Here is a 24598-nt window from a genome sequence, read left to right on the forward strand (position 1 = left end):
TATTGTAGAAATATAAATAAATAGCTAATCACATCCCTGCCCCACCCATCTGGTGCTAAACTCCTTTTCGATTGGAGCCTAGGAAAAATTCTAGAAAGGAAATTGGTAAAACCTTTGACCCATAACTCAGGGAGAAAAACAGTTTGACTCAGAAGCCCATGATGTCTTTCCCTTTTCTGACATTTTCTAACAAGAAGTTATTCAGCAGGAAAACTGGAAATTTGGCCACAAATGTTAAGATCTAGGCAATGAATTAGTCAAATGTTTTTATGGAGAATCCATTTGTACTTGACATTAATTTAGGTTGTCTGCTAGAAGGTCAGGCTTCTTGGAAAAGTTGGGGCCAGGAGAACAGAGTGCTATGCCACCAGATCCTGATGGCCTAAAGCATCTTGAGAAATGCACTCTGCTTCACACCCCTGCATCAGTGTGATCCTGGCACTTGTGTTTGTTACAGGAGGGTTGTCTAAGTGGCTGGTTTAATCATATTACTCCAGTGGCCCGCAAGTAAGTGACACATCAGCAGCCTAGATGGCCAAAATCACTCAACTCAACTGAGCCAGAGCATTGAGCCAATATTCTGCATGGAGTCTTTACATCCCTAAGACAATTATATTATTGTGCAATTTGCCACCATAATGTGGATCTTGGCTCTTAGGAAGAGTTTATTAAAGCTTATTTTTAAATTCCCTCTCTAGCCCATCTGTTCTACATCCCTTCAACAACTTTTTGGGCTACATTTGACTAGATAAGAGCTTTATGCATTAACCCTGGTTAGATGGTAGAGAACTGTCCTAAATCTTTCTTCCTCAAATGGAACCATAATGAGGACGTCTAACTTATTTTTTCTGATGAAGGAATGTATATTTCTGCATAAAAGAAAGATTTGGTATCCAGAAATCACAGTAGCATTGCATTCTAGTAATCCTTCATGTGTCATACTTGGAAAGATGATCAAGTAACATTATCCCATTTGTATTCCATTGTCCTTTTACATGTTGCCACTTTCAGCCCTAGGTTCTTAGACCATGTGCACATTTGTCACAGAGGATCCTTTATCTTGAGCATTCCAAGGGTCTGTGGCAGAATACCAGTCCCCCTTCCACATCCTACACTAGTCCAGGAAGAAATCTGTGTCCAGAAAGAGAATAGCTCTAGTAGAATGACCTTTACTGAGGCTTGATATCTGCTACCTTATAAGCTTCTTATACACTCAGCCTAATCCACCTGGAGGCTTTGCTGCCTGATGGAAGGTGATAAAAAAAGTTGTTATGCTATAAGCCCTGTCTTAGATTCAAGGCATGTAGGCTGTGTAAGATTCTGAGGCTTAGGGCAGACAGAGGGGGAAATAATTCTTAGTTCAGGTGCAATTTTCAAGATGCTTATTAGGATGAACTCTGGTCTAAGAACAACTTTATTGGTATGAAAGTCAGGCAAGGCTTCCTAATAGGAAGGAGGCTCCCAGCTTCCCAGCATTTCAGAGGGGCTAATGTAATGGTGATCATAAAACTTGACAAAAACCAACAGGAACCAAGAAGCCCAAGTCTAGAAATCTACAATCCACAGAGGATCAACAGCTTGTATTCTGGATATCTTAAAGGTGAATGCTCTAAAACACCCATCTGCCAGTGGTGATGAAAACCTGGACACCCACAGTTATAAATAATTCATTCTATTTCTTACAGCAACTAAGGCGAGGGCCTAAATTCCAAATTCAACTAGGTTTTTTATTTACACCCTTGGCCAAGAAAAGAAAGCTCATAGATGGAGCTTCTAAGAATAATGGAAGCATGTCTCCAAGCAGAGAGGGAGACTTTGAGATACCTTACTAAAAAACTGCTTCTCTGAGTAATAGGATAATTGCTTCTCAGAATCACAAAATGAAATGAAAATATAAACCATAGTGGAGGAACTAAAATATGTAAAAATGTTATTGTATTATGAAAGATTTTTAATATTTGTGGGTACATAGTAGATGTATGTATTAATGGAGTATACAAAATACCCTGATACAGGCATACAATGTGTAATAATCCCATCAGGGTAAATGGGGTATCCATCGCTTCAAGCATTTATCCTTTGTGTTACAAACCAATTACATTCTTTTGTTACTTTAAAATGTATAATTAAATTATTGACTATAGTCACCCTGTTGTGCTATCAAATGCTAAGTCTTATTCATTGTTTCTATTTTTATTTTGTACTCATTAACCAACCCCATTTCCCTCCTACTTCTCCCACCCCCACTACCTTTCCCAGCCTCTGGTAACCAGTCTTCTATTCTCCATCTCTATGAGTTTAATTATTTTGATTTTTAGCTCCTACAAATAAGTGAGAATATGCAAAGTTTGTTTTTCTGTGCCTGACTTTTCTCACTTTACATAATGACTTCCAGTTCCATTCATGTTGCTGCAAATGACAAGATCTCATTCTTTTTATGGCTAAATAGTACTCCATTGTGTATATATACCACATTTTCATTATCCAGTCATCTGACGATGAACACTTCAGTTGCTTCCAAATCTTGGCAGTTGTGGACAGTGGTGTAATAAACATGGAAGTGCCGATATCTCTTTGATATACTGATTTCCTTTCTTTTGGGAATATACTCAGCAATGTGATTGCTGGATTTTATGGTAGCTCTATGTTTAGTTTTTTGAGGAACCTCCAAACTGCTCTCTATAGTGGCTGTACTAATTTACATTCCCACCAACAGTGTACAAGTGTTACCTTTTCTTCGTTTCCTCACCAGCATTTGTTTTTGCCTGTCTTTTGGACAAAAGCCATTTTAACTGGGGTAAGATGATATGTTGTTGTAGTTTTGATTTGCTTGTCTCTGATAATCAATGATGTTGAGAACCTTTTCATATGTCTGTTTTCCATTTGAGAAATATCTATTTGAGTCTTTTGCCCATTTTAAAATGAGATTATTAGATTTTTTCCTATAGAGTCATTTGAGCTCCTTATACATTCTGGTTATCAATCCCTTGTCAGATGAGTAGTTTGCAAATATTTTCTCCTATTCTGTGGGTTGTCTCTTCACTTTGTTGATTGTTTCCTTTGCTGTGCAGACACTTTTTAACTTGATGTGATCCAATTTGTCCATTTTTGCTTTGGTGGCCTATGCTTGTGGGGTACTACACAAGAAACTTTTGTCCAGACCAATATTCGGGAGAGTTTCCCAATGTTTTCATGTAGTAGTTTCATAGTTTGAGGTCTTATATTTAAGTCTTTAATCCATTTTGATTTGATTTTTGTATATGGTGAGAAATAGGGGTCCAGTTTCATTCACGAAAGAATTTTCTTGCCCTAAAGCAAAAAAATGGGATTTTTTGTGCTCAGCAAACACACTTCAAAGGGAAATTATTTACAGTCTGCATTGAAAGAAAAGTTTCTTCCTTTTAATAAATTTTCAGTGTTGAAAAATTTGGTATATTGGAAAGATATTTGTCCATTGATAAACTGTTTACATTTTTCTCTCTCATATATTCCTGATTAGATTATATAAATATAGAATATCTATATTATATCTATGTTACCATTATAGCTGTATTACCAATATCTATATTATCATTGATCAGGTGGCATATATATATATATATATCACCTGATATGTTGTTGGCAGGTATAAGATAAGACTCATAGTCACTGACATCACCAATTCTGTGTCCTTTGAAATATACACATATTTGAATATCAGAACTTCTGAGAAAACCTCTCCTTTGGGAGGAGTGGGTGATATACATAATTTCTTCACAATTATAATAGAATCTCCATCAATACTCACAACAGGGAATTATTTTAGCCTCATTTCATAGAAGAATAAAATGTGAGCCTGGGAAGATTCAGTGACTTGCTCAAGGTCACACAGCTAGGAAAGGTTAGAACTGGCATTCCTGATTCTTAATCTTGTGCTTTCTCTAGTACAGTATGCTGCCTTTAGTCTGAACCCTAAATGGACCACATTCCAGAAAAGCTAATGATATTTGTAAATGCCATTATTAGTAAGTGATTTATCTTACCCAATTTCCATTCTTCCTGAAAGAGATGTCTGTATCTGCCATGAGCTAAAACAGTAGCATTCTACCTACCTGGCAAGAACATGACTCCCCTGAGTTGCTAAGTTTAGGCATATCAGACAAAATGGAAGAATGTAAAGTTACAATGATTTTATATCTCCCAGTTGAGATAATGCTACTGAGAACCACTCGGAGCTGAATAAATTGAACAAGTGCAGTTTTGATTAGTTTCAAAAGACAAAGTATAGTATTTTTTTTTCCTAAATCAAAAAGAAAAGTCAATGGCAGCAAAATAAAGCTCTTATTCTAAATAAACTCAGTTTTATATTTATTTTCTGAATTTCAATAGTATATATACAGAATAATTTGAGCCATCTATGCATAAAAATGATACTTTGCATTAGAAAGATTCATAGGTAAATACCTAAACAAATGAAACATTTAAAACATACAATGGCACACAATGCAAATGAATCTATCGTAATAGCTTTGGCTAACATTCTTCCAGGCTTACCATATGCCACGCCTTGTGCTAAGCGGGTATTATCTCATTTCATCCTCACAACAACCCTATCAGGAAAAAACTAGCATCCCTTCCAATTACAGATAAAGAAACCAAGGTTCTGTAAAGTTAAGTGGCTTGTTTGAGCCCCTGAGGGAGAAAGGGGCAGAGCTGGGGATTGAAAGCAGATTGACAGAGGACCAAGGCCCCATGTGTTATCACCACCTATGGTCTCCTCTTTTCACATTACCTGATATTCTACCCACATGCACTAATTTGAGGAGCAAAATAAGTTGGGATTGTTTTTTTAATAAAGTTTTTTTAAAACAACTAGCTGGTAATAAGTTATTTAATTTCCCCTCTGAAGACACCACATGAGCCTTACCTATGATCCAGTGCTAACCCCAACATGGTGCATAAAAACTGGCCTCTTCACCCAACCCCCAGCACTTGCCTCTTCAGCTCTCCTCGCATTTACCTCACCCTAGAATCAGACCAAAGAAAGTCACGAGTGCAGCCTGAGGTATTAGAAGGTAGAATGGACCTAGCAGAAAGAGACAAGAACACAACGTGGGGGCAAAAAAGGCCTGTCCCGTTACCAACACCACCAGACCGACCATACTGGCCTACCCCAAACTAGTGTTTTCATTTCTCCTGACTGATCAAGTCTCATCTGTCTGCTTTTTGTCTAAATGCAAGTGACATTTATATCCATCCCCTCCTTCTTTTAACCATTTGTTCATGTCTATATTTGAGTTTCTGGCATCATGCTAGGTTCTAAGGATACAAAAATGAATGAGATGCTATCACCTGCTGTCAAGAAATTCACAGCCTAGGGAGAGAGTGACATATGACCAGAGAGGGTCCAATGTGGACAGATAATGAAGAAGGGAGTCAGCAGAGGAGATTCTGAGAACACAAAGGAGAAGAGAGGCAGCAACCCAGCGTGGGTGGGGTGAGCTGATCAGAGAAGGCCTCCTGGAGCAGTGCACCCAGAGCTGATATGGAGTTGGAAAGGTGAGTGCATGAGTGAAGGAAATGAGTGGAGTGGGGGAACAGTGTTCTGGGCAGAGTGGACCTCATGACCCAGAAAGAGCCTGGTGTGTCCAGTGATTCACTATCTGTGATCTAAGTAAAATGCCTAAAGAGAGGCAGGTATGTTAATCTCCAAGACCCCCAGAAAAAAAGAGATTGGTATAGAGAGGCTTTGCACTAACTCCTCCTTTCCTGCCTGTTATGGTTTGTCTGTGTCTCCACCCAAATCTCATCTTCAATTCTAGTTCCCATAGTCCCCATGTGTTGTGGGAGGGACCCTGTGGGAGGTAACTGAATCATGGGAGTGGTTACCATGATTGTGAGTGAGTTCTCAAGAGATCTGATGATTTTATAAGGGACTTTTCCCGCTTTGCTCGGCACTTCTTCCTGACATCATGTTAAGAAGGACATGTTTACTTCCCCTTCCACCATGATTGTAAGTTTCCTGAGGCCTCCCCAGCCATGCAGAAATGTGAGTCAATTAAGCCTCTTTCCTTTATAAATTGCCCAGTCTCTGGCAGTCCTTTATGGTAGTGGGAGAATGGACTAATACACTGCCACTGTATTTACCCAAATGACTCCATCGCCTTCATCTCAATTCTTTACTGCGCTATGACCACTCAGCTGTGGATGTCACCAGATTAGCAAAGCAATGCCTTGGGTCCAGGTGACAGCCTTTAAACATGAGCAGAGGCACCAGCCAAGCCTGGCGTGGCACAGCACTGATACACACATTCTGTGCTTCCATGTCTCTCCCAAATCTATGCCTTTACAAGTGCACATTCACTCCTGAAAAAGCCAAGAAGCCAAATAAATCCAAAAGAAATGTATGCTTTCCAGCCAACATGAGCCTGTCCTCTACATCTTAGAAAAGCAATTACAACAACCATGGCAACGTGATTTATTGAGGGCTTCCAGTGGGCCGAGATACCATCATCTCCCACCTGCACACTCTGTGGCTTCCTCATAGATCTGCTTGTAGTTTCTCTCTGGCCCTTCTGATGCCTTCTCCTTTCAGCAGCCAGGGAAGTCTTTGTAAAGTTGGTTTACAAAATTGATTTATTTATCCCCACCCTCCTATTTCATGCACCCAAGTCTACATAACAACTGTGCTTCCATGGCTTTCCATGGCACTTAAGATAAAATAAAAGCTCCTTCATTTGACTGGAGTCTGCCTCATCTCTCTCCCCATCCTTCTCTCATACCACATCTCCCTAAACTCTATACACAGCCAGGAGCTCTTCTTTCATTTCCTTGAATGTCCAATGCTCACACAGGCTTTTCCTTCTTTCTGGACCATTATTCCCATTCCTCTGCACCTAGACAACTCCTAGGCCTTCTCCACAAGGTGATTCAATTATCACCTCCTCAGGGAAGCCTCCCTGATCTCTTTGGCAAGGAAAAATATCATAACCTCTCCTATTTAAAAAACTCTTATATAGCCAAGCCTTATATTATAACCTCTCAAAGCAGCACATTTCTTTATTGCACTAACCATGATAATGATGTATCATTTATTTAGTGATCAATGCTTGTCATTGTTCAGTAAAGGACATGCAACAATGAACAGGTGAGCATGGGAATATGGGATCTATTGACACTGCCACATATGGCACCACCTGAAAGCAGCTGACCTGATAAAAACACTGGATCATCCTATGAAAGTTTCCACAAAGGTGCCAGCTCAGGGTTCACAACCTGCAGTGCCAGGGTGCTACGCCCCAGGATATACACTGCAAAAAGTCTACACCTAATATGTGAGGCTATGCCCCAATAGCTAGAATACACAGGGCCATGATCTCCCAGCAACCCACCTGTTGAATTTGTGTGTCTCATCACTACCGCTTAAGGCTCTGTTGGGTTAGAGGTTCTAGGTCCTCGTGGGAGGCAGCGTGGGGAGTGTGAGGAATGTTTCCCCAGGGGGACACAGTAAGGAGACCTCTGTACCTAAAAATATGATCACTGCCTAGTTCCGTTGGCCAGCTCATGCCAGGGAACCACCTCTTGGTGCTGTCATGATTGTGAGAACAGGGAAAGGGCAGTCATGGCAACTTCAACCTGACAAAAGTAAGGCAACCAAGAACCAGACCCCTCAAGGAAGAGGACATGAGGCCCACCATGAGCCAAAGAAACATTTGGCTGAAAGTGAGAAAAACCCAGAATGAGTAGAACAGGAGAGTTATTTCTTCATTAATTACTTCCCAGCTGTAGCAGAGGGGACTATACATATCTGTCTTAAGTCTTTCTGAAATGTCAGGGACAGAGTGGACCTAATATGACACACGAGTGTCACTGAGTGGGGTAGGAGGTGAACTGTGGCAAATGCCACCTCCCCTTGGCCACCTTAGACGTCAGCTGCAGCCTGGTGAGCATTTCCATGCACATTGGCAGTGTCCTACATCAAGTCCCATGCCAGCATCACCTTACTTTTCTGACTCTAGAATTTTTCTTAAACAACAGAATCTCCGACAGCTTGTTTACCGGGCAGGCCATAAGTGCAGGGGAGTTAACTTCCCTAAGGACAACCCTCAGTCTGGATCCATACATATATATTGAGAACAAACTGTCTGCAACCACACAGCTTAATAGGAGCAAGAACTAAGACTACCTATATTATTATGACTTTATTATTCTAGGACTCAGCCTTAACCAGCTTTGTGGTTTGAAGCATCAAGTTCCTAGAGTGGACTAGACAAGATTGAAAGATGAATGGCAAAGATCACCAAGGTCACAATTACTTAGAAGTAAAAACTTCTAGATTGAAGAGTGTACCTTTAAACCCAGGATTAAGTCTCTAACTAGTGATGAAATGTCAATAAATGTTCATTGGAGCAAATAGCGCAAAGATTTAGAAGAATTGGCTCTAATAATGTTTTATACACAAACAAAATATATGAAAATTTCTACATTTTGTTTATGTGGAAATTTGCCTCACAAGACCTGTGTGTGTGGTGGTGGCAGGACACTCCACCAGGCACGGAAGGCCGAATTATTGCCACAAACAAGCTGTGAGATGCCAGGTGGCCATTTCATTTCTTTGGGCTTTCATTTATGCATTTGTAAAATAAAAGAATTGAACCAAATCATCTCAAGTACTTTGTACCTAAAATTATTAGATTTTCTAATGTATATCCTTAAGTTGTGTTTTCACAATGACTCATTCTGTTTTGATGAGGAAGCCAGCCTCCAATTACATCTCCAAAAAATAAAGACAAGTTGCAACCTGTTTAATCACATGCAATCAGTATCAAGTATGTATTACAGGTATCACAGATAATACAGAAAGAACCTATTGACTCTCCCCCTATTCTAGGACTCAACCCTAACTTGCTTTATGGTTTGGAGTGTGAAGTTCCTAGTCTGTAAAGAGAAGGGAGTTCTTGTATCTGCCCTCTAGATCTTTTCTAAACCTACAAACCTAAGACTAATGGCATCCCTCACCTCCCACAGCTTGTCTATGTTGTTTATTTCTCACCCATTGCTTCACTAAGGAAACTAACATTGCAACAGAGACCAGAGGGAACAGGACAGGGGCAACCACAATTCAAGCAGCTGGTTTTAGAGTCAGTAAAGCAACTGCTGTTCTATTTTCCACCTGCAAGTTAAAAAGTGAGTCAACTATTTCAAATGTTAGCTAAACATTCCTACCAAATCTAGTGCAGTAGATTCGGATTTGGAGTACAGAGAACTGGATTATAATTCCGATTCTGTCACCTGATGGCCATGTCACCTGGCCACATCACTTCATCTCTCTGTGATCCTGTTTCTCCAAGTGTAAAATGGGGATAATAGCAGGGAGATGCTGTGGAGATTCAGAAAGATTAAATACAGTAACCTACATGACAGAACCTGGTATAGCACCAGGCACCTAGAAGACCTTCGCTGAATGATTGGAAGGAGGATCTAGCTGTCTGCCAAAGAGAAGAAAATAGGAAACATGAAAACACTAATGAGTATAAACAGAAAGTGTACTGGATGCAGAGTGAGATTTGTGTTCTAATCTCAGTCATTACTAGCTGAGTGTCCTTGAACAAGTCAAGGTCTCACTTCTTCTCACCTCAATTTCTTCATCTGTAAAATGTTGGGCTTAACTGCCATGATTCTGCTTTAACATTCCAGGATTCTGCAATGACGTTAGTTTGCCATTGCTGATGTTAATGTTGTTTTCTTCTCAGTGATCCACATTCCAAGAAACCATTCTTGGAATGGAATAGGATACCTAAACCAACTCATCCTACTCATTCGTTGTAATGGAAAAATAATCAGTTCTTTATTATTTATGCCACAGGCATGACTCAGAGCATAAAAGTATGAGTAGAGGAAGTCTATGGCCCTTAAAGAAAAGCGCTAATAAATAATCTGTTTTAGAACTATAATTTTCTTTTTTTTTTTTTTTTTGTTTGAGATGGAGTCTCACTCTGTCGCCCAGGATGGAGTGCAGTGGCGCAATCTCTGCTCACTGCAAGCTCCGCCTGCTGGGTTCACGCCTTTCTCCTGCCTCAGCCTCCTAAGTAGCTGGGACTACAGGCGCATGCCACCACACCCAGCTAATTTTTTGTATTTTTAGTAGAGACAGGGTTTCACTGTGTTAGCCAGGATGGTCTCGATCTCCTGACCTCGTGATCCACCCGCCTCGGCCTCCCAAAGTGCTGGGATTACAGGCATAAGCCACCTTATGGCCTTAGAATTACAACTTTCAATAGGAAAAAAAAAACCCTATGAATTCTCCAAAAATCAACAGAAGCAACGTTAACCTTTTTTTCTCTAATAACAAGGTGGTTATCTCCAGTGCCTTCTAGAATATCTTTGTCTGTTATTCTTACTCCTCATAAGCCCCCAAGCCTAATACTATCCTCCTACAGCCATACATTCAAATCGAGCCTCAGGATCTCAAGCAAGGTCCTTCAATTGACCTACAAAATGGGTGTTACCTCTGCTGGTAAGGAGACTAGACCTCTCCCTTGAACAATGTCATATCCCATGGCATCACTATTCCTCTTCTTCAGATTAAAGGCTGGATGGTGATGAGCAGATTTCATCTTTCTGCCAAGAACAGATTGACCCTGAGGTAAGTAGATAGCTTACAGTCTATCCCAGGACAAATGCAGGTAGCAGGCCTTCTTTCTCAAACAACACAAGTTTCTAAAAATTCCTTTCACCTCCATTAAATTTAAAACATAGTGTATAGTACTCTTTTCTTTATTCCAAATATTAAAGTGCATATCCATGGTAAAAATGATAATTTCTCAAATAGATACAGTCCTATAAATCATCTAGGGATAACAAAAACTAAGTTTCAATGAACATGCCAATTCTAAATGTCATGTAGTGGTTGCCTGGAGTACTATGTTGTAAAGGACTGTGACCTGCATTTACACTCAGTGGGGATGCTGCATTCAGTGAGCCAGCGTTGCTTAGGAGGATGGGAGAAGTAGAAATAGATCACGTCTATTGTCCTTGACCTCGTCCGGTGATCAAATACTGGACCAAATCTGGCCACACTTATGCATTTATATATGTTCTGTAGCTGCTTTCCCTCTGCAGCAACAGAGCTGAATCTTGCATCAGAGTGTGTGGCCCACAAAACCTAAAATATATTTACTCCCTGGCTCTTTACAGAAAAGTTTGTCAACCCCTGATTGTAGTCCAGCCCTCTCATCTCACAAATAATAGAATTAAATATATCTTCCTGTTTTTCCTTTCAACTTAAACCTTAGATTCTGATTAGCTAATCAAATCAAAGTAATAGTGACTTCTTACTAGAGTGGTACAAGCTGAGATCACAGTTTGTTACATGGAAGAACCACCATATGTGGAATCAAACCATGACCCAGACACCCAAACCGTATGTCAACTGTATTCTCATCTTAGGGGTGATATTTCTGAATTTCAATCTAGAGTTTACTTATCATGTGGCTTTTCTAGTTAAAAAAAATAAAATAGTATAATTTTGACAGGAATAATAAAAAGTATGTTTCACAATTGTAAATTGTCTCTCCATTTAAGTACACATGTCTGTCATACCATTGAAAGGAGGAATAATAAATCCAATATTTATGGTTTCACTATGGGTTACTGGCATCCTTGTAGTTTAAATAGGTGACTAAGAAGAAATCCTGCTGGCAAGCAAATTTATACATACTTATTTTGTGCCTTGACACGCTGAAAGTGTTCACATAAAATAATATAAGGCTTCTATAGCCTTGATTATTTCTGAATACTGCAAAATCTTACACTGGTATTGCAAACACACTTTGAAAACAGCTGGGGTAATCATGTTTAGTCTCAATCTGTGCTGTCCAATACAGTGGCCACCTGCCCCACGTGGCTACTGAGCACTTAAAATGTGGCTAGTTCAAATTGAGGTATGTTGTATGGACTGGATTTCTAAGACATGGTATGAAAAAATGAATGTGAAATGTATCATTAGCAATTTTTTGTAATATTCTATGTTGAAATGATATTTTAGATATATTGGGTTAAATAAAATGTGTTATGAAAATTACTTTCACTGCTCTTACTTTTTTGATGTAGCTACTAAAAAATTTAAAATTATCTATACGGGTCATGTATTTCTTTTGGATGTGCTCTGGTGGAGAAATTTTTAAAAAATATTTATGAAAGCAAGCCCAATGAGATAGGGAAATTGATACACACTTATAGAAAATGTACTACGTTCCCATGCCTCTGCTGATGTCATAGCCCTAACAACAATGAGCAATGTTCAAGGAAAGAAATAGCCCAATAAGTCAACATCTACCTGTTTAACATTATGAGAAAACTGAGGTCATGTCTCATGACTAAAGGCCTAATCATCTACTTCTCTTCCTTTTAAAAGTTTTAAAATAGTCCAGCAAAATTAGCACATAATCCCTCCCCGTATACTCACCCTTTCAAAAAGGAGCATGGCCTGAAAAATATCTGTTGATCTAACAAAAATAAAGAGAAGTTATAAACCAGACACTATCATGCAAATAGTTGAGTTGGCCAAGAATTTACTTCAAGTAATACCACATGACATTGTTTGATCTCTTTTGTTTCAGCAAGGATAAAAAGGCCAGCCATAAGGAGACATGACAAATACCATTGAGTACTGCAGAGCAACTTGGCAGCTGCCCGAGGTAGAGCATCTTGTTTACATCACCACGCCAAGCCAGGAAGCAGAGTGAGGCTTTAGTCCCTGAGGCATTAAGTCCTCACCCTGATACCCCAATCCAGGTCTAGCCACCTCTCTCCAGACATAGTCCTGAGCATAACAGCTGTGGAGATCAGTTGCCTTTTCTGCGAAATTGTCATTAAACCATGAGTAATTTGGCACTATTTTCTGCATGATTTGTCCTCTCTGAAAATAAGCAGACTCAGGCTTGTGAAAATGGAAATTGATTTACTTTCTATCCTTCTTGAGCTCATCTATTTAAGGTCTACTTCTTCTGGGATGTGCCAGGAGACTGCACTACTTTCAAGTGGTGGAAATTTCTTAAAAAAAAAAAAATAAAAATAAGCTGAAGGAAACTTGGAATGAGAATGCACTTGGCTAATTGGTTTGCCATCTAGCACTACCTCTTTCTCTAAGCAGGGAGAATCAAGCCGCTGTCTGCTTGATGGGGCAGTGGCAGCCTCGTGTAACCTCTGTAGTTATCTTCTGACTACTCAGCTGAATCCACTGCATTCTACATATCTTTCTTATTTAACGTAGAGTATGCATTTAAAAATAATATTTCTGTAAACCTTATCAAGCAAAACATGGCATGACTCGATGCCAAATTATAGTGATGATTATTTTAAGAAGAATCACAGCGCTTTGGCCCAGTTTTTGGAAAATGTGATTAATAGCACTGCCAGTGCCTTCTAGTGAGCCAGCACCACAAACTAGCTATTTGATTTCATAACACAGTGCTGTTGTGATCACCAAAGCAACACTATCCGTTTAGGTGCTGGATTAGAATCCAGGCGAGTCCGCAGTATAGTCTTTACACTTCATCAACTTCCACACAGGACATAAATTGTACTAATATAGTAATATACTGAAATCTCAGACCAACTGTTTGTCATCGGATTAGAATGTGATGACACAGAATAAAGATGTGAGACAGAATCTGTGCTGAGGTCTAAATTCACATTGGAAGTCTGGGAAGAGAAGACTGTTTATAAAATTATAGCCCAGGAATTGCTGCCAAAGTCGGCCTTTGGTGCAGCTGTAAGTCGGATGGAATCCACCTTCCTGACGTCAGACCCACCCACTGGAACACTGCTCCTCTGACTGGGGCTTCCCTGAATGGAAACTACATGTCATACTGCAAAGTAAGTGCTGTCGTTCTGGAGCTGTCGGCACGATTCGATCTTTGTAGTGGGTTGATTATTTGTTCTTTTCCATCCAGCAAAAAGGCTATCAGCACACTTGTAGTTTTAGCATTCATATTTTTCATCCCCAAGTTCTGAGTTTTGCTCAAGCTGACAGATTTCTTGAGTTCTACTCCCTAGGACCTTCACATCTGATGATGGGGTGCTTTTTCATTTTCTTTCCTTCTGTTTTGTATTCTTCAATTCACTTCTTCATCTTCTCTTCCCAGGAAATGATGACCTCCTTTGTACAGATTCTGCTACCATAGACAATGTGCATTACCATTTACAAAACCCAAGGATACATTTTGGTTTTCTATTACTTAGAAAAATTGGGGCCATACGTAAAGACGCCATGGAATAGGTGTTTATGCAGAAGGTTTGTCTGGACTAAAAACAAAATGAAGTTTGATGTCATTATTTATACATTTCAGAAGCTCCTAGATTACTATCTTAAAGGTTGTTTTTGTTTTTAATATATGACATTTGAAGTTTCAGTCACAGTGTAAAAAATATTTAAATAAGTTTCAACTGGTTTGCCAGGGAAGCAGGATGGTAAGGGCGGTAGGCATAGGGCTAACCTAAGCTTCGGCTAATTGCTTTAATACACATCACACAAGGTGATCCTCATAAAGGGTTATATTATGAATTCAATTATATAAGTAAGAAAACTGGTGTTGAGAGATGTGAAGTGACTTGTCCAAAGTTACCTCCTATGCAGCAGAGTCTACATGACTAGAATCCAAGTCTTCTGGCTCATTTTTGTTTGTATATAATTTATTTGCTTTTATTTTTAATTTTACATAGATAACTATATCACTAAGTAATGTATCATTTAGGTTTCCATGACATGATGTAAGTGTAGTCATTCCACATGTTACCGGCCTTTTTTTTTTTTTTTTTTTTTTTTTAAGAGATGAGGTCTCATTATTTTGCCTAGGCTGGTCTTGAACTCCTGGGCTCAAGCAATCCTTCCGCCTTGGTCTCCCAAAGTGCTGTGATTATAGGCTTGAGCCACTACACTCGGACCTGTTACTGACAATTTTTTTTCTTTTTCTTTTTTGTTGTGCTCTGTCGCCCAGGCTGGAGTGCAGTGGTGGGATCTCGGCTCACTGCAAGCTCCACCTCCTGGGTTCACGCCATTCTCTTGCCTCAGCCTCCCAACTAGCTGGGACTACAGGTACCCGCCACCACGGCCGGCTAATTTTTTTGTATTTTTAGTAGAGACGGGGTTTCACCATGTTAGCCAGGATGGTCTCGATCCCCTGACCTCATGATCTGCCCATCTTGGCCTCCCAAAGTTCTGGGATTACAGGCGTGAGCCACCGCTCCCAGCCAACATTTTTTAAAAAACACTTTTTGAGGTATAATGGACATACAAAAAGCTGTACATATTTAAAGTATACAACTTGAGTTTATGGGTAAGTATATACCCATGTAACCATTACCACAGTCAATGTCATAAACATGTCCATCACCTCTAAAAGCTTCCTCCCACCCTCTTTATTATTATTGTTTATTGTCATAAGAACACTTGACAGAAGATCTACCCTTTTAGCAAATTTTTAAATATACCATATAGTATTATTAACTATAGGCACTATTCTGTACAGTAATATATCTCTAGAACTCACTCATCTTGCATAACTGAAAATTTGTACCCTTTGACCATTACCTCTCTGTTTCTCCCTTCCCCTAGGCCCTGGAAACCATAATTCTCCTTTCTGCTTCTATGAGTTTGCCTATTTTCGATTTCTCATATAAGTGAGACTGTGCAGTATTTATCCTCCTGTGTCTCACTTACTTCACTTAGCATAACATTCTCCAGATTCATCCATGTCATCACCAATGGCAGTATCTCTTTCTTTTAAGGTTGGATAATATTCCATTGTATGTATAGGCCACGTTTCCCTTATCCTTTGATCCAATGATAGACATTTAGGTTGTTTCCACGTCTTGGTTATTGTAAATAATGCTGAGATGGACATGGGAAGGCAGATATCTTTTCAAGACCTTGATTTCACTTCTTTCGATATATACCCAGAAATGAGATTGCTGGATCGTATGGTACCCCGATTTTTTTTTTTTTTTTTTTTTTTTTTTACTTTTTAGGAATTTCTGTACTGTTTTTCATAGGGTCTGCATTAATCTACATTTCCACTAACTGTGTACAAAGGTTCCCTTTTCTCCACACTGTCACCAAAATTTGTTCTTTTCGTCTTTTTTATAATAGACCTTCTAACTGGTATGAGAGGATATCGCACTGTGATTTTGATTTGCATGTCTCTGATGGTTAGTGACATTGAGCACCTTTTAATATACCTGTTGGTCATCTGTACCTCTTCTGTGGAGAAACATCTATTCAGTTCCTTTGCCCATTATTTTAATTGGGTTATTTGGGTTTTTGCTAATGTGTTCTTCATATATTTGGGGCATTAACCCTTTATCGGATATGGTTTGCAAATATTTTCTCCCAATCTCTAGGTTATCTTCTCATTTTGTTGTTTGCTTTGCTGTGCAGAAACTTTTCAGTTTGATGTAATCCCACTTGTCAATTTTTGCTTTTGCTCTCTGTGCTTTTAGTTGTCATATCAAAGAAATCATTGCCAAGGTCAATGTCAATAAGGCTTTTCCTTATTTTTTCTGGGAGTTTTATGGTTTCAGGACTCACATTTAAGTCTTTAATTCGTTTCAAGTTCATTTTTGTGTATTGTGTAAGGTAAGGGTCCAGTTTTATTCTTTTGCATGTGGATATCCAGTTTGCCCAATTTCAGTTTTTGAAAAGTCTATCTCTTTCCCATTGCACATTCTTGGCACCTTTGTCAAATATCAGTTAACCATATGTGCCTGTGTTTATTTCTAGGCTCTTCTAACTGTTAATTCAAAATTCTACCTCCAATAAATCATTTATATGTTAGAGCCTGGTACTTGGTTACAAACAAAAACATCCATAGATTCAGGGCAGTGAATTAGAATTGCCTAGTCTCAACTACATTTTTAGAAGTCAGTGAATGTAACTTTTTCATATTGCACAAACTCTTAATTGCTATAGTCAAGCAGCTGATAATTATGGATTGGCTTGTTAATATTTATTCCTAACCATTTCTTGAGCATCTGCTATGTGCCAGGCTCTCTGCTAGCTTATAAACCATTAATGAATACAGTATGCTTTGTATTAAAGTATCACCCCAGATGCTTTAAAATGAACTGATTATTCTAGCTGCTGAAAGATTATTACAAATTGATAATTTGTTTTATAATTGATTCTTGGTCTGCAGGATCAGTGAAGAGACAGTCCACCACCATATATACATAAGTGTTCCACCATTTATTCCAAGGGTGGAGTATCAAGATGGGGATCCTTTGTAATATCAGTGTTGAAATAGAGTAGGAAAACCTAAAATAGGAAACAAATTCATGAAAATGCTAAGGAGATATAATCAAATCATTAGGTTACAGCACACGTGTTTAGGGGTCAGGAGATATTGACTCTGAACAGTCATGTGAGTCTGCAGGTCAATTTTAAATTGAGGAGAGCAGAATTTTTTATCTTTTTATTTTTTATTTTTTTTAGAGACAGGGTCTTGCTCTATCACTCAGGCCAGAGTGTCATGGAGCAATTACAGCTCACTGCAGCATTTAACTTCTGGACTCAAGGGATCCTCCCATCTCAGCCTTCCAAATAGCTAAGACTACAGGCATGCACCACCATTTCCAGCTAATTTTCATTTTTATTTTTTATTTTTGTAGAGACAGGGTCTCACTATGTTGCCCAGGCTGGTCTCAAATTCCTTCTCAAGTGATCCTCCCACCTCAACCTCCCAAAGTGCTGGGATTGCAGGCATGAGCCACTGCACCCAGCAGAAATTCTTAACGAGGCAAGGCCAACAGAGGCCATTCATTCAACATCACGGCACCATAGTGGCCTCTTTTTAAGACTCCTCAGGCAAGTAGAACTTATTTGTCTCAAAGACATTGTATCATGAACCCAATGTCTAAACTTTCACATGTGTGTTTTGAAGGATGTTTTTAAGGAAAGAAAAATTTCTGTTGTATAAATTATTAAAATAAAAGTTGCTGTGGTGATCTTTACTTTTGTTTCATTCCCTGGAATTAACCACGGGCTCAAGACGTTCCTCAAGATGCTATTGCCTTTATAGAATTCTTTTCTCCCCGAACTTCAGATGCTCTTCTGCTATAATAAATATCCATGACTTTTGGATTTGGAAAGTCCAAAACTGTTATCACATGCCCTCTGTGTACTTATAACATGTACCTTTAAAGATTTTCTCCTTAAACAAATAGCTGTCTTTCACATCACACTTTTACCCCAGCGTTTTCTGATATTATTACTTGTAACTCTAAAGAGTTATAATTATGGTGCCTGTCTCCTTAAAGGCAGCAGAGATAGAATAATTTTCATTTGTGATGTTCCAATACATTATTTTACCAAAGTCTTTGGCTAATCTAATTGCCACTGAAATTCAAATTAGATAATTCACAAGAAAATAATTATCTATATGTGCTGTGCCTATATGGCACCCTGTGAGGCTAACCAGTAATCTGCTTTATTTCATCAATGTCTGTAACTCACATCCCTTTATGCTCAGCATTGTGCCATGAATTAAATACTCCAATTTTGGAATTTATTTTACAAAAATGCCCTCTTTGACCCTAGCTGTATAAGATGGGGATAAGGAGACTATGAAGGATAGAAATAATGTGACAATTTATCTTCAGCCAATGGCACAGCTTCTATCAACCAAAAAAAAAAAAGGTACTGAAAACTATTCTGTTATATACAAGAGAAAGTGATCATGGGGGAGGGCTCAACAACAGTTGGCAAAGTTACTCAAATAGGGAGTCTTTGAGGGAAACAATGTTGCCTCCAAAACTAAACATTTTCACACCAGTGTTTACAGGAAAACAGCTGTGTACCTAGCTCCCTTATAATGTGGCACAAATATCTCACCCTCAGCTTCAGTTATTCATTGCTATATAACAAACTACCTCAAAATTTAATGGTTTTAACTACCACAATTTTATTTGCTCACAATTCTGTGGGCCAGAAATTTAGGGAGTGTTCAGCAGGGCCATTCTTCTGTTCTGTATGGCATCAGCTAGAGTTGGAATGTCCAAGATGGCTGCCATGTGGCTGCATCCAGCTGACAGCTGAAATAGGCTGGAAAGTCCAAAAACGTTTCACTCATATGTCTGGGGCCTTCATGTACCTCCATGTAGCCTCTCTTTCTTCCATGCAGCTAGTTTGAGCTTCATTACAGCAAGGTGAACCAACATCTTACATGGTATCTAGGTTCCACAAGGAGTAAAAGTAGAAAGTATAGATCTCCTAAGCTCCAGGCTTCAAATCCACAAGGAGTAAAAGTAGAAAGTATAGATCTCCTAAGCTCCAGGCTTCAAAGTTACATAGGGTTACTTCTGCCACAAAACAACAGGCATAAGATTCATGGAGATGAAGAGATAGATTACTTCTGTAGAGAAGAAGAGGGACAAAAGGAATCCAGATCTCTGTTTTGCAGTCTACCACACCTATCAACCTAGAGTGTCATCATTCATCAGGTCAAGCTAAAGCACCAAAATTTAACTCCCCTTCTTAATTTTTGAACCATTTTCTCTGCCTTCCAGGATCCCTAAAACCTGAAATCCAAACAGTTTAATGATACCGAATGTTTCAAATTAGTGTCTGTCTTATTGTTCTTGGTAGTTGGGGAAGGGATCAATATTAATGAAGAGAGAAGCAGCAAATATTGTTAATGAGGATAAACTAGGAGAGACCCAGTTACTGCAGGGATGTGTTTCAGCATGCATTGAATAAAATGACACAGGGTATGAAAGCCTGAGTCTTTGATGCACCCACAATAATAACAACCCCAAAGTTAGCACTATGGGTAAATTTTAATAGACGATGTCTTACAAAAAGCTCTTTGCGTGAAATGCAGCCCAAAGACTAAATTAGAGCCAAAGCCCCAGTCAGTTAACTGTGCTATAACATGTGAAGAATTGATTTTCTTATTTTCAGCTGTCAGACCTGCTACAAAGAATGAGTTTTAATTCTGGGGATGTTATTAAACTCCTTGCTTAACTGGCAGAAAAATGGAACTGCTAGCTGGGTGACAGTAGAGCTGCTGTCGGATTGAATGACACCTGTCAGAGTATGATGAATGACCCTGTCTTCCCCACAATCCCCTGTTCTGTCACTCAGGTGAGGCCCATTAATCTTCATCCTGGGCCTGTCAGGCTAGGCACCCATGACGACAAAATGTCTTGAAGCATTTACCCCCAAGATGCACGGAACAATACGATCTTCTCATTGTCAGAGCCACGTGGAATTAGCATAATTTATTATGACTTCCATCCCCCTCACTCTCTACCTCTATCACCACCCCCAAAAAAGCAAGTGGGGGCTAGATGGGATTAGACAGATGGAGTGTAGGACCAGACTGCCAACTACCAAACCCCCTGCAGTGCCTGATGATTGGGGGGAGCATCTCTACAAACCAATCAAAAAGCTGGCAGTTCAATTACAGAGTAATAAAGGGACATTCATCATTCAATTAGGCACCTGTCATGGTTTCACAAAAGGGAAAACTTCTAACCTGAGACTCCTGGGAGAAGATGATACAACCAGGAGACAGGGAAATAAATGAAAAAAGGGACAAAGTCAATTACTGGCCAACCAGACAAAAGGATATATGTTTAAAAAATAAAGTTGGGCGGGGGCTGGTTCTCCCCAGGCAAAAATCAGAAAAGTTAGATGACCTTATCTAGATTAAGAAGGGCTAATATTAAAAGTAGCATGGTGCCCTCTTCTATGGTACATCTCATGATTGAATTTTCCCTTTAGGAGCTGCCAAGGAAACTGAATTTTCTAAGAAAAAAAATATCAGGAGGAAACAGTAACTCTGTTACTCAAAAGCATTGTTCTTTAAATAACTAAGACATGAGGGTGAAGAGGAGATAGCCTAAGTGGACATTCAACTTTGATGCTTTACTGTATTGAGGAGGAATGAGCCCAAATGACATTTTGAAAATATTATGCCCTGCTAGTGACTGGAAATAACAGTTGACAAATTTAATTTCTTAGCAAGTGTACGTGATGGTAATTGAAGCCAGAATATAGTTTCCAATGGGAAAAATTTCCATTTTGAGCAGGGGAGGGATGTAGAATTTTTTCTTATGATCTAACGGTTATTTTCTATCTTCATTTATATTAAAGGTTCCAGATAGATTTCATCACTCAAGATAAGCAAATGAACCACAGAATTTTGAAGTTAGAGGTAATTACAGCAATGATCTTAGCCAGCCCCCATACATTTTGGGACACACAGGTTCAGGACTGCCTGCCCTGGAGCTGATTCCATAAGATACCCAGTAAGTAAGTCCCTGTCAGGAACTGGACATAACACCCCTCACCTCAACTGCTGTGCTCACTCCACAGCTCAGCACAACTTTGAATTATTATCTCAAAGACTTTTAAAACAACAACAAAACACTTCCGAGAAAAAAATCTAGCAAAGTTTCTCATGTTGTAAAACAGTTATAGGTTAAGTAAATTAAAATATTTCTATTTTGAAAGGCAGTTTTCATGCTATCACTTTTCTAAAATTGATTGTTCATTCTAATAACCTTTCTCTATAGATTGTCAAGAGGCAGATTTATAATACATGTATTAATTATTTTCATAGTGACTCAAGCCATGAGTTTCAGTGTACTTGACCATCATGTGTCATCTTTCCAGGCACCAGGCTTTTAGGCGTGGCTTTGAAAGGCCCTCTGATGTTATCATGCGCCTTCTATTTTATTTCAGGGAAGAGAGAGTACCTTTTTCCTTCTCCTTTTCTTTCTTTGTTTTCTTTATTCTTAAATTCTTTTTTATTTTCTTATTTTTTATTTGAAAAGATACTTGATATTTAATCTAGATAAACTACACAACCAAGGTGAGGTTAATTTTGAGAATAAATACTCAAGAAAATGTAAGTTTCTGTATAGAGAAGGGTGATGCTTCACTCAGGCTTTTGTGGACATACTGGACAATGGTATTCTTAACCTTTAAGATCCGTAGTGGGGAAGAAAAATATATGTCATATATGAAGCCCATAGGTATGTGTGTCTATATGTGTACACATACACGTTATATCTTAGATACCCACACACATACTACACACTGTAAATATATTCCTTTCTATTTTAGTTTTGAAGCTTCATCTGCTGCAAAACATAAAAAAGCAAGGCAGAGTCAACCTCAATTTGTTGTATACTAAGATATATTGGCAAGCCCTCTCTGCTCTTTTTTCAGAAGCCCTTAAATGTCATATCCTAAAATCAGTAAGATGGGTCATTCCATCCAGAATGTATTTATCAGTTTAATAGGCCTCTAAAATATATTGTCAATTCCATTGGAGGAAGTGGAATAGAGAGGAGAGAAAATGACTTTTGCTCCCTCCTTTCCCCATCTCTATCCTCCTGATTAGAGTCAAGCTGATGCATTTTTAAGTCCAAAAGAGAGTGTAGCATTTTTTTCCAAGTTTACATTTTTTCTATTGGGAAAATAGAAAGATTAAAGGATGAACAGTAAAAATTACCAAGGTCGTAATAACTCAGAAGTAAAAACTTCTAAGACTGAGGAGTGTATTTTTAAGCCGAGGATTAAATCTCTAACTAGTGACGAAATCTCAATAAATTTTCATCGGTGCAAATAGCATGAAGATTTAGAAGAAGAATTGAATCTAATAAGGTTTTATACATAATTAAAATACACAAAAAGTTATACATTTTGTTTATGTGGAAATTTGCCTCACAAGACCCATGTGTGTGATGGTGGCAGGACACTCCGCCAGGCACAGAAGGCCTAATTATTGCCACAAACAAGCTGTGAGATGCCAGGTGGCCATTTCATTTCTTGGGGCTTTAGTCTACGCATTTTTAAAAGAAAAGAATTGAACCAAATCATCTCAAGATACTTTGTACCTAAAATCATTTGATTTTCTAATTTATATCCTTAAATTGCATTTTCAGAATGACCCACTCTGTTTTGATGAAGAAGCTAGTGATTGTTGGAGGCCAGCCTCTAATTAGACCTCCAAAAATTAGAGATTGTATCCTGTTTAATCACATACAGTCAGTATATAGTGTATATTATAGATATTATAGATAACACAGAAAGAACCTATTGACTCTCACCCTCTGAGAGCTTCCCATTGCTCCCTCTGGGAATGGCAAAGCTGGACTCAGTACCCACCACTTATATCAATTGCCTGAGCTTAAAGTGCCTCAAGGACCAGCAGTTCAATTCCATCTTTAACATGTAAAGCTAAACTGAAATTAGGTAAAAATTAATACTGTATATAAGACATGGCAAATCAGTCACAAGGTAGCTATTCTTTAACACAACCATACTGCTATTTTAATAATTTAAAAAGTTTAAGTTGAATTTAAATTATTTCTTTACCAGAAAGCTCAAATGAGAAAAAAAAAATCCAAGAGCTTAAAGCCAGGGTTTCCAATATATTTTATACCATGACATACACAGAAAATGATTAGAAACTAAAAATCTATCCACTGAAAGACACATCATTACTTTATATATCCCTAAAAAAGAGAAAACCATTTTTCCCACCTCTAATTGAAGAGCTTCACTTCAGACAGGTTTCATCTATTTGTGAGCATCTTCCTTTCTTCAAAACTCGCAAAGTATTTGTCTGTTCATCACTTCTGTGACTTACTTTCCTTTATCAACATCACATTTATACCTACTTCTCTGTTTCCCTGCCTTTCCATGTACATAATAACTGTTTTGTTTCAATGCTGAATCATAGTGTATTTTACTGAAGACACTTTAAGGGAAACTCAACCCAATGCGAGCAGTACAATGCACATCACTCAACTGAAGTTTGTATAATATGAACAGCTGTGACCAGGTTTTGGCATGTGCAGGCAATAACAACTACCTTATCACTGCCACCTGGCCAAAAGCAATTGTAAAATATTTATGGGGAAACACATTCCAATTTCAGAAATGTTAAATGAGAGAAAAAAAAACATGCATTTTAGAATCCATGATGTAAGATCAATGGATAAGGCCTCTCTTGGTGCAGAACAAACAGCTGGAGGGTCTCAACCATCCCAGCCCAGCTAGGTGCCCCAAGGAGTAAGGACAGCAATAGCCCAAGCACTTATAACCCATTCTCAGCATGACTGACTGATGAGAGCCAACATGAAGGTCTATAGAGAGAACTTCCAGACAATGCTTCTCTAGATACAACCCCATAGAATTGCAACTTAGTTGAGATTTAACAAGAATCCATTTGGCAAAAGTCTCCAATCACCTTTGGCTTTGCAGCCTGCCTGCCAAAGCTGAACAATTATATCCCCATATTCTTAACTCTTTTATTCATTCTAATCATTTGGATCTTTGCTCTCTTTTCTAGTATTTGAGTAGTCATAACCAGTTGGAGATAATGCTGGGGGATGGAATGTCAAGACAGTTCCTCACACCCATCTATGCCTTGCCTCCCCTTGTCAATCTGCCTTTCAGGTAGTGCTACCTCTACCATTCATCATCCCACCTGCCCAGGACAAATGACAAACACTTGCAGTCTTTGTTTTTTTTCTAGCCTCACTATCTGTATGGGGTAATAACCTTGATCAGCATCACAACCTCCAGCACTTCTCTTCCTGAAGA

The 24598-nt window shown here is 38.7% G+C and overlaps 1 long non-coding RNA gene across 1 annotated transcript in view, besides 3 other annotated features; it reads left to right on the forward strand.

Moving 5' to 3' along the window:
• Positions 1-24598, forward strand: part of LINC01828 (long intergenic non-protein coding RNA 1828) — a 202799-nt gene that overhangs the window by 160905 nt on the left and 17296 nt on the right. The window contains exons 2-3 of the long non-coding RNA NR_110564.1: positions 17647-17842; positions 21134-21288. This is a non-coding gene — a long non-coding RNA (long intergenic non-protein coding RNA 1828). The remainder of the gene's footprint in view (positions 1-17646; positions 17843-21133; positions 21289-24598) is intronic.
• Positions 19257-21029: an enhancer, noted in NCBI's record as "E14 enhancer". NCBI's record gives its function as "enhancer in anterior and posterior lateral mesoderm" and the evidence as "EXISTENCE:transgenic organism evidence [ECO:0001131][PMID:24022755]".
• Positions 19257-21256: a biological region, named in NCBI's record as "HHc2:066683 enhancer downstream of MEIS1".
• Positions 19350-21256: an enhancer, noted in NCBI's record as "HHc2:066683". NCBI's record gives its function as "enhancer in hindbrain, neural tube, muscles" and the evidence as "EXISTENCE:transgenic organism evidence [ECO:0001131][PMID:22448256]".

This window comes from Homo sapiens, chromosome 2 (assembly GCF_000001405.40).
Source record: "Homo sapiens chromosome 2, GRCh38.p14 Primary Assembly".
Classification (NCBI taxonomy): Eukaryota; Metazoa; Chordata; class Mammalia; order Primates; family Hominidae; genus Homo; species Homo sapiens.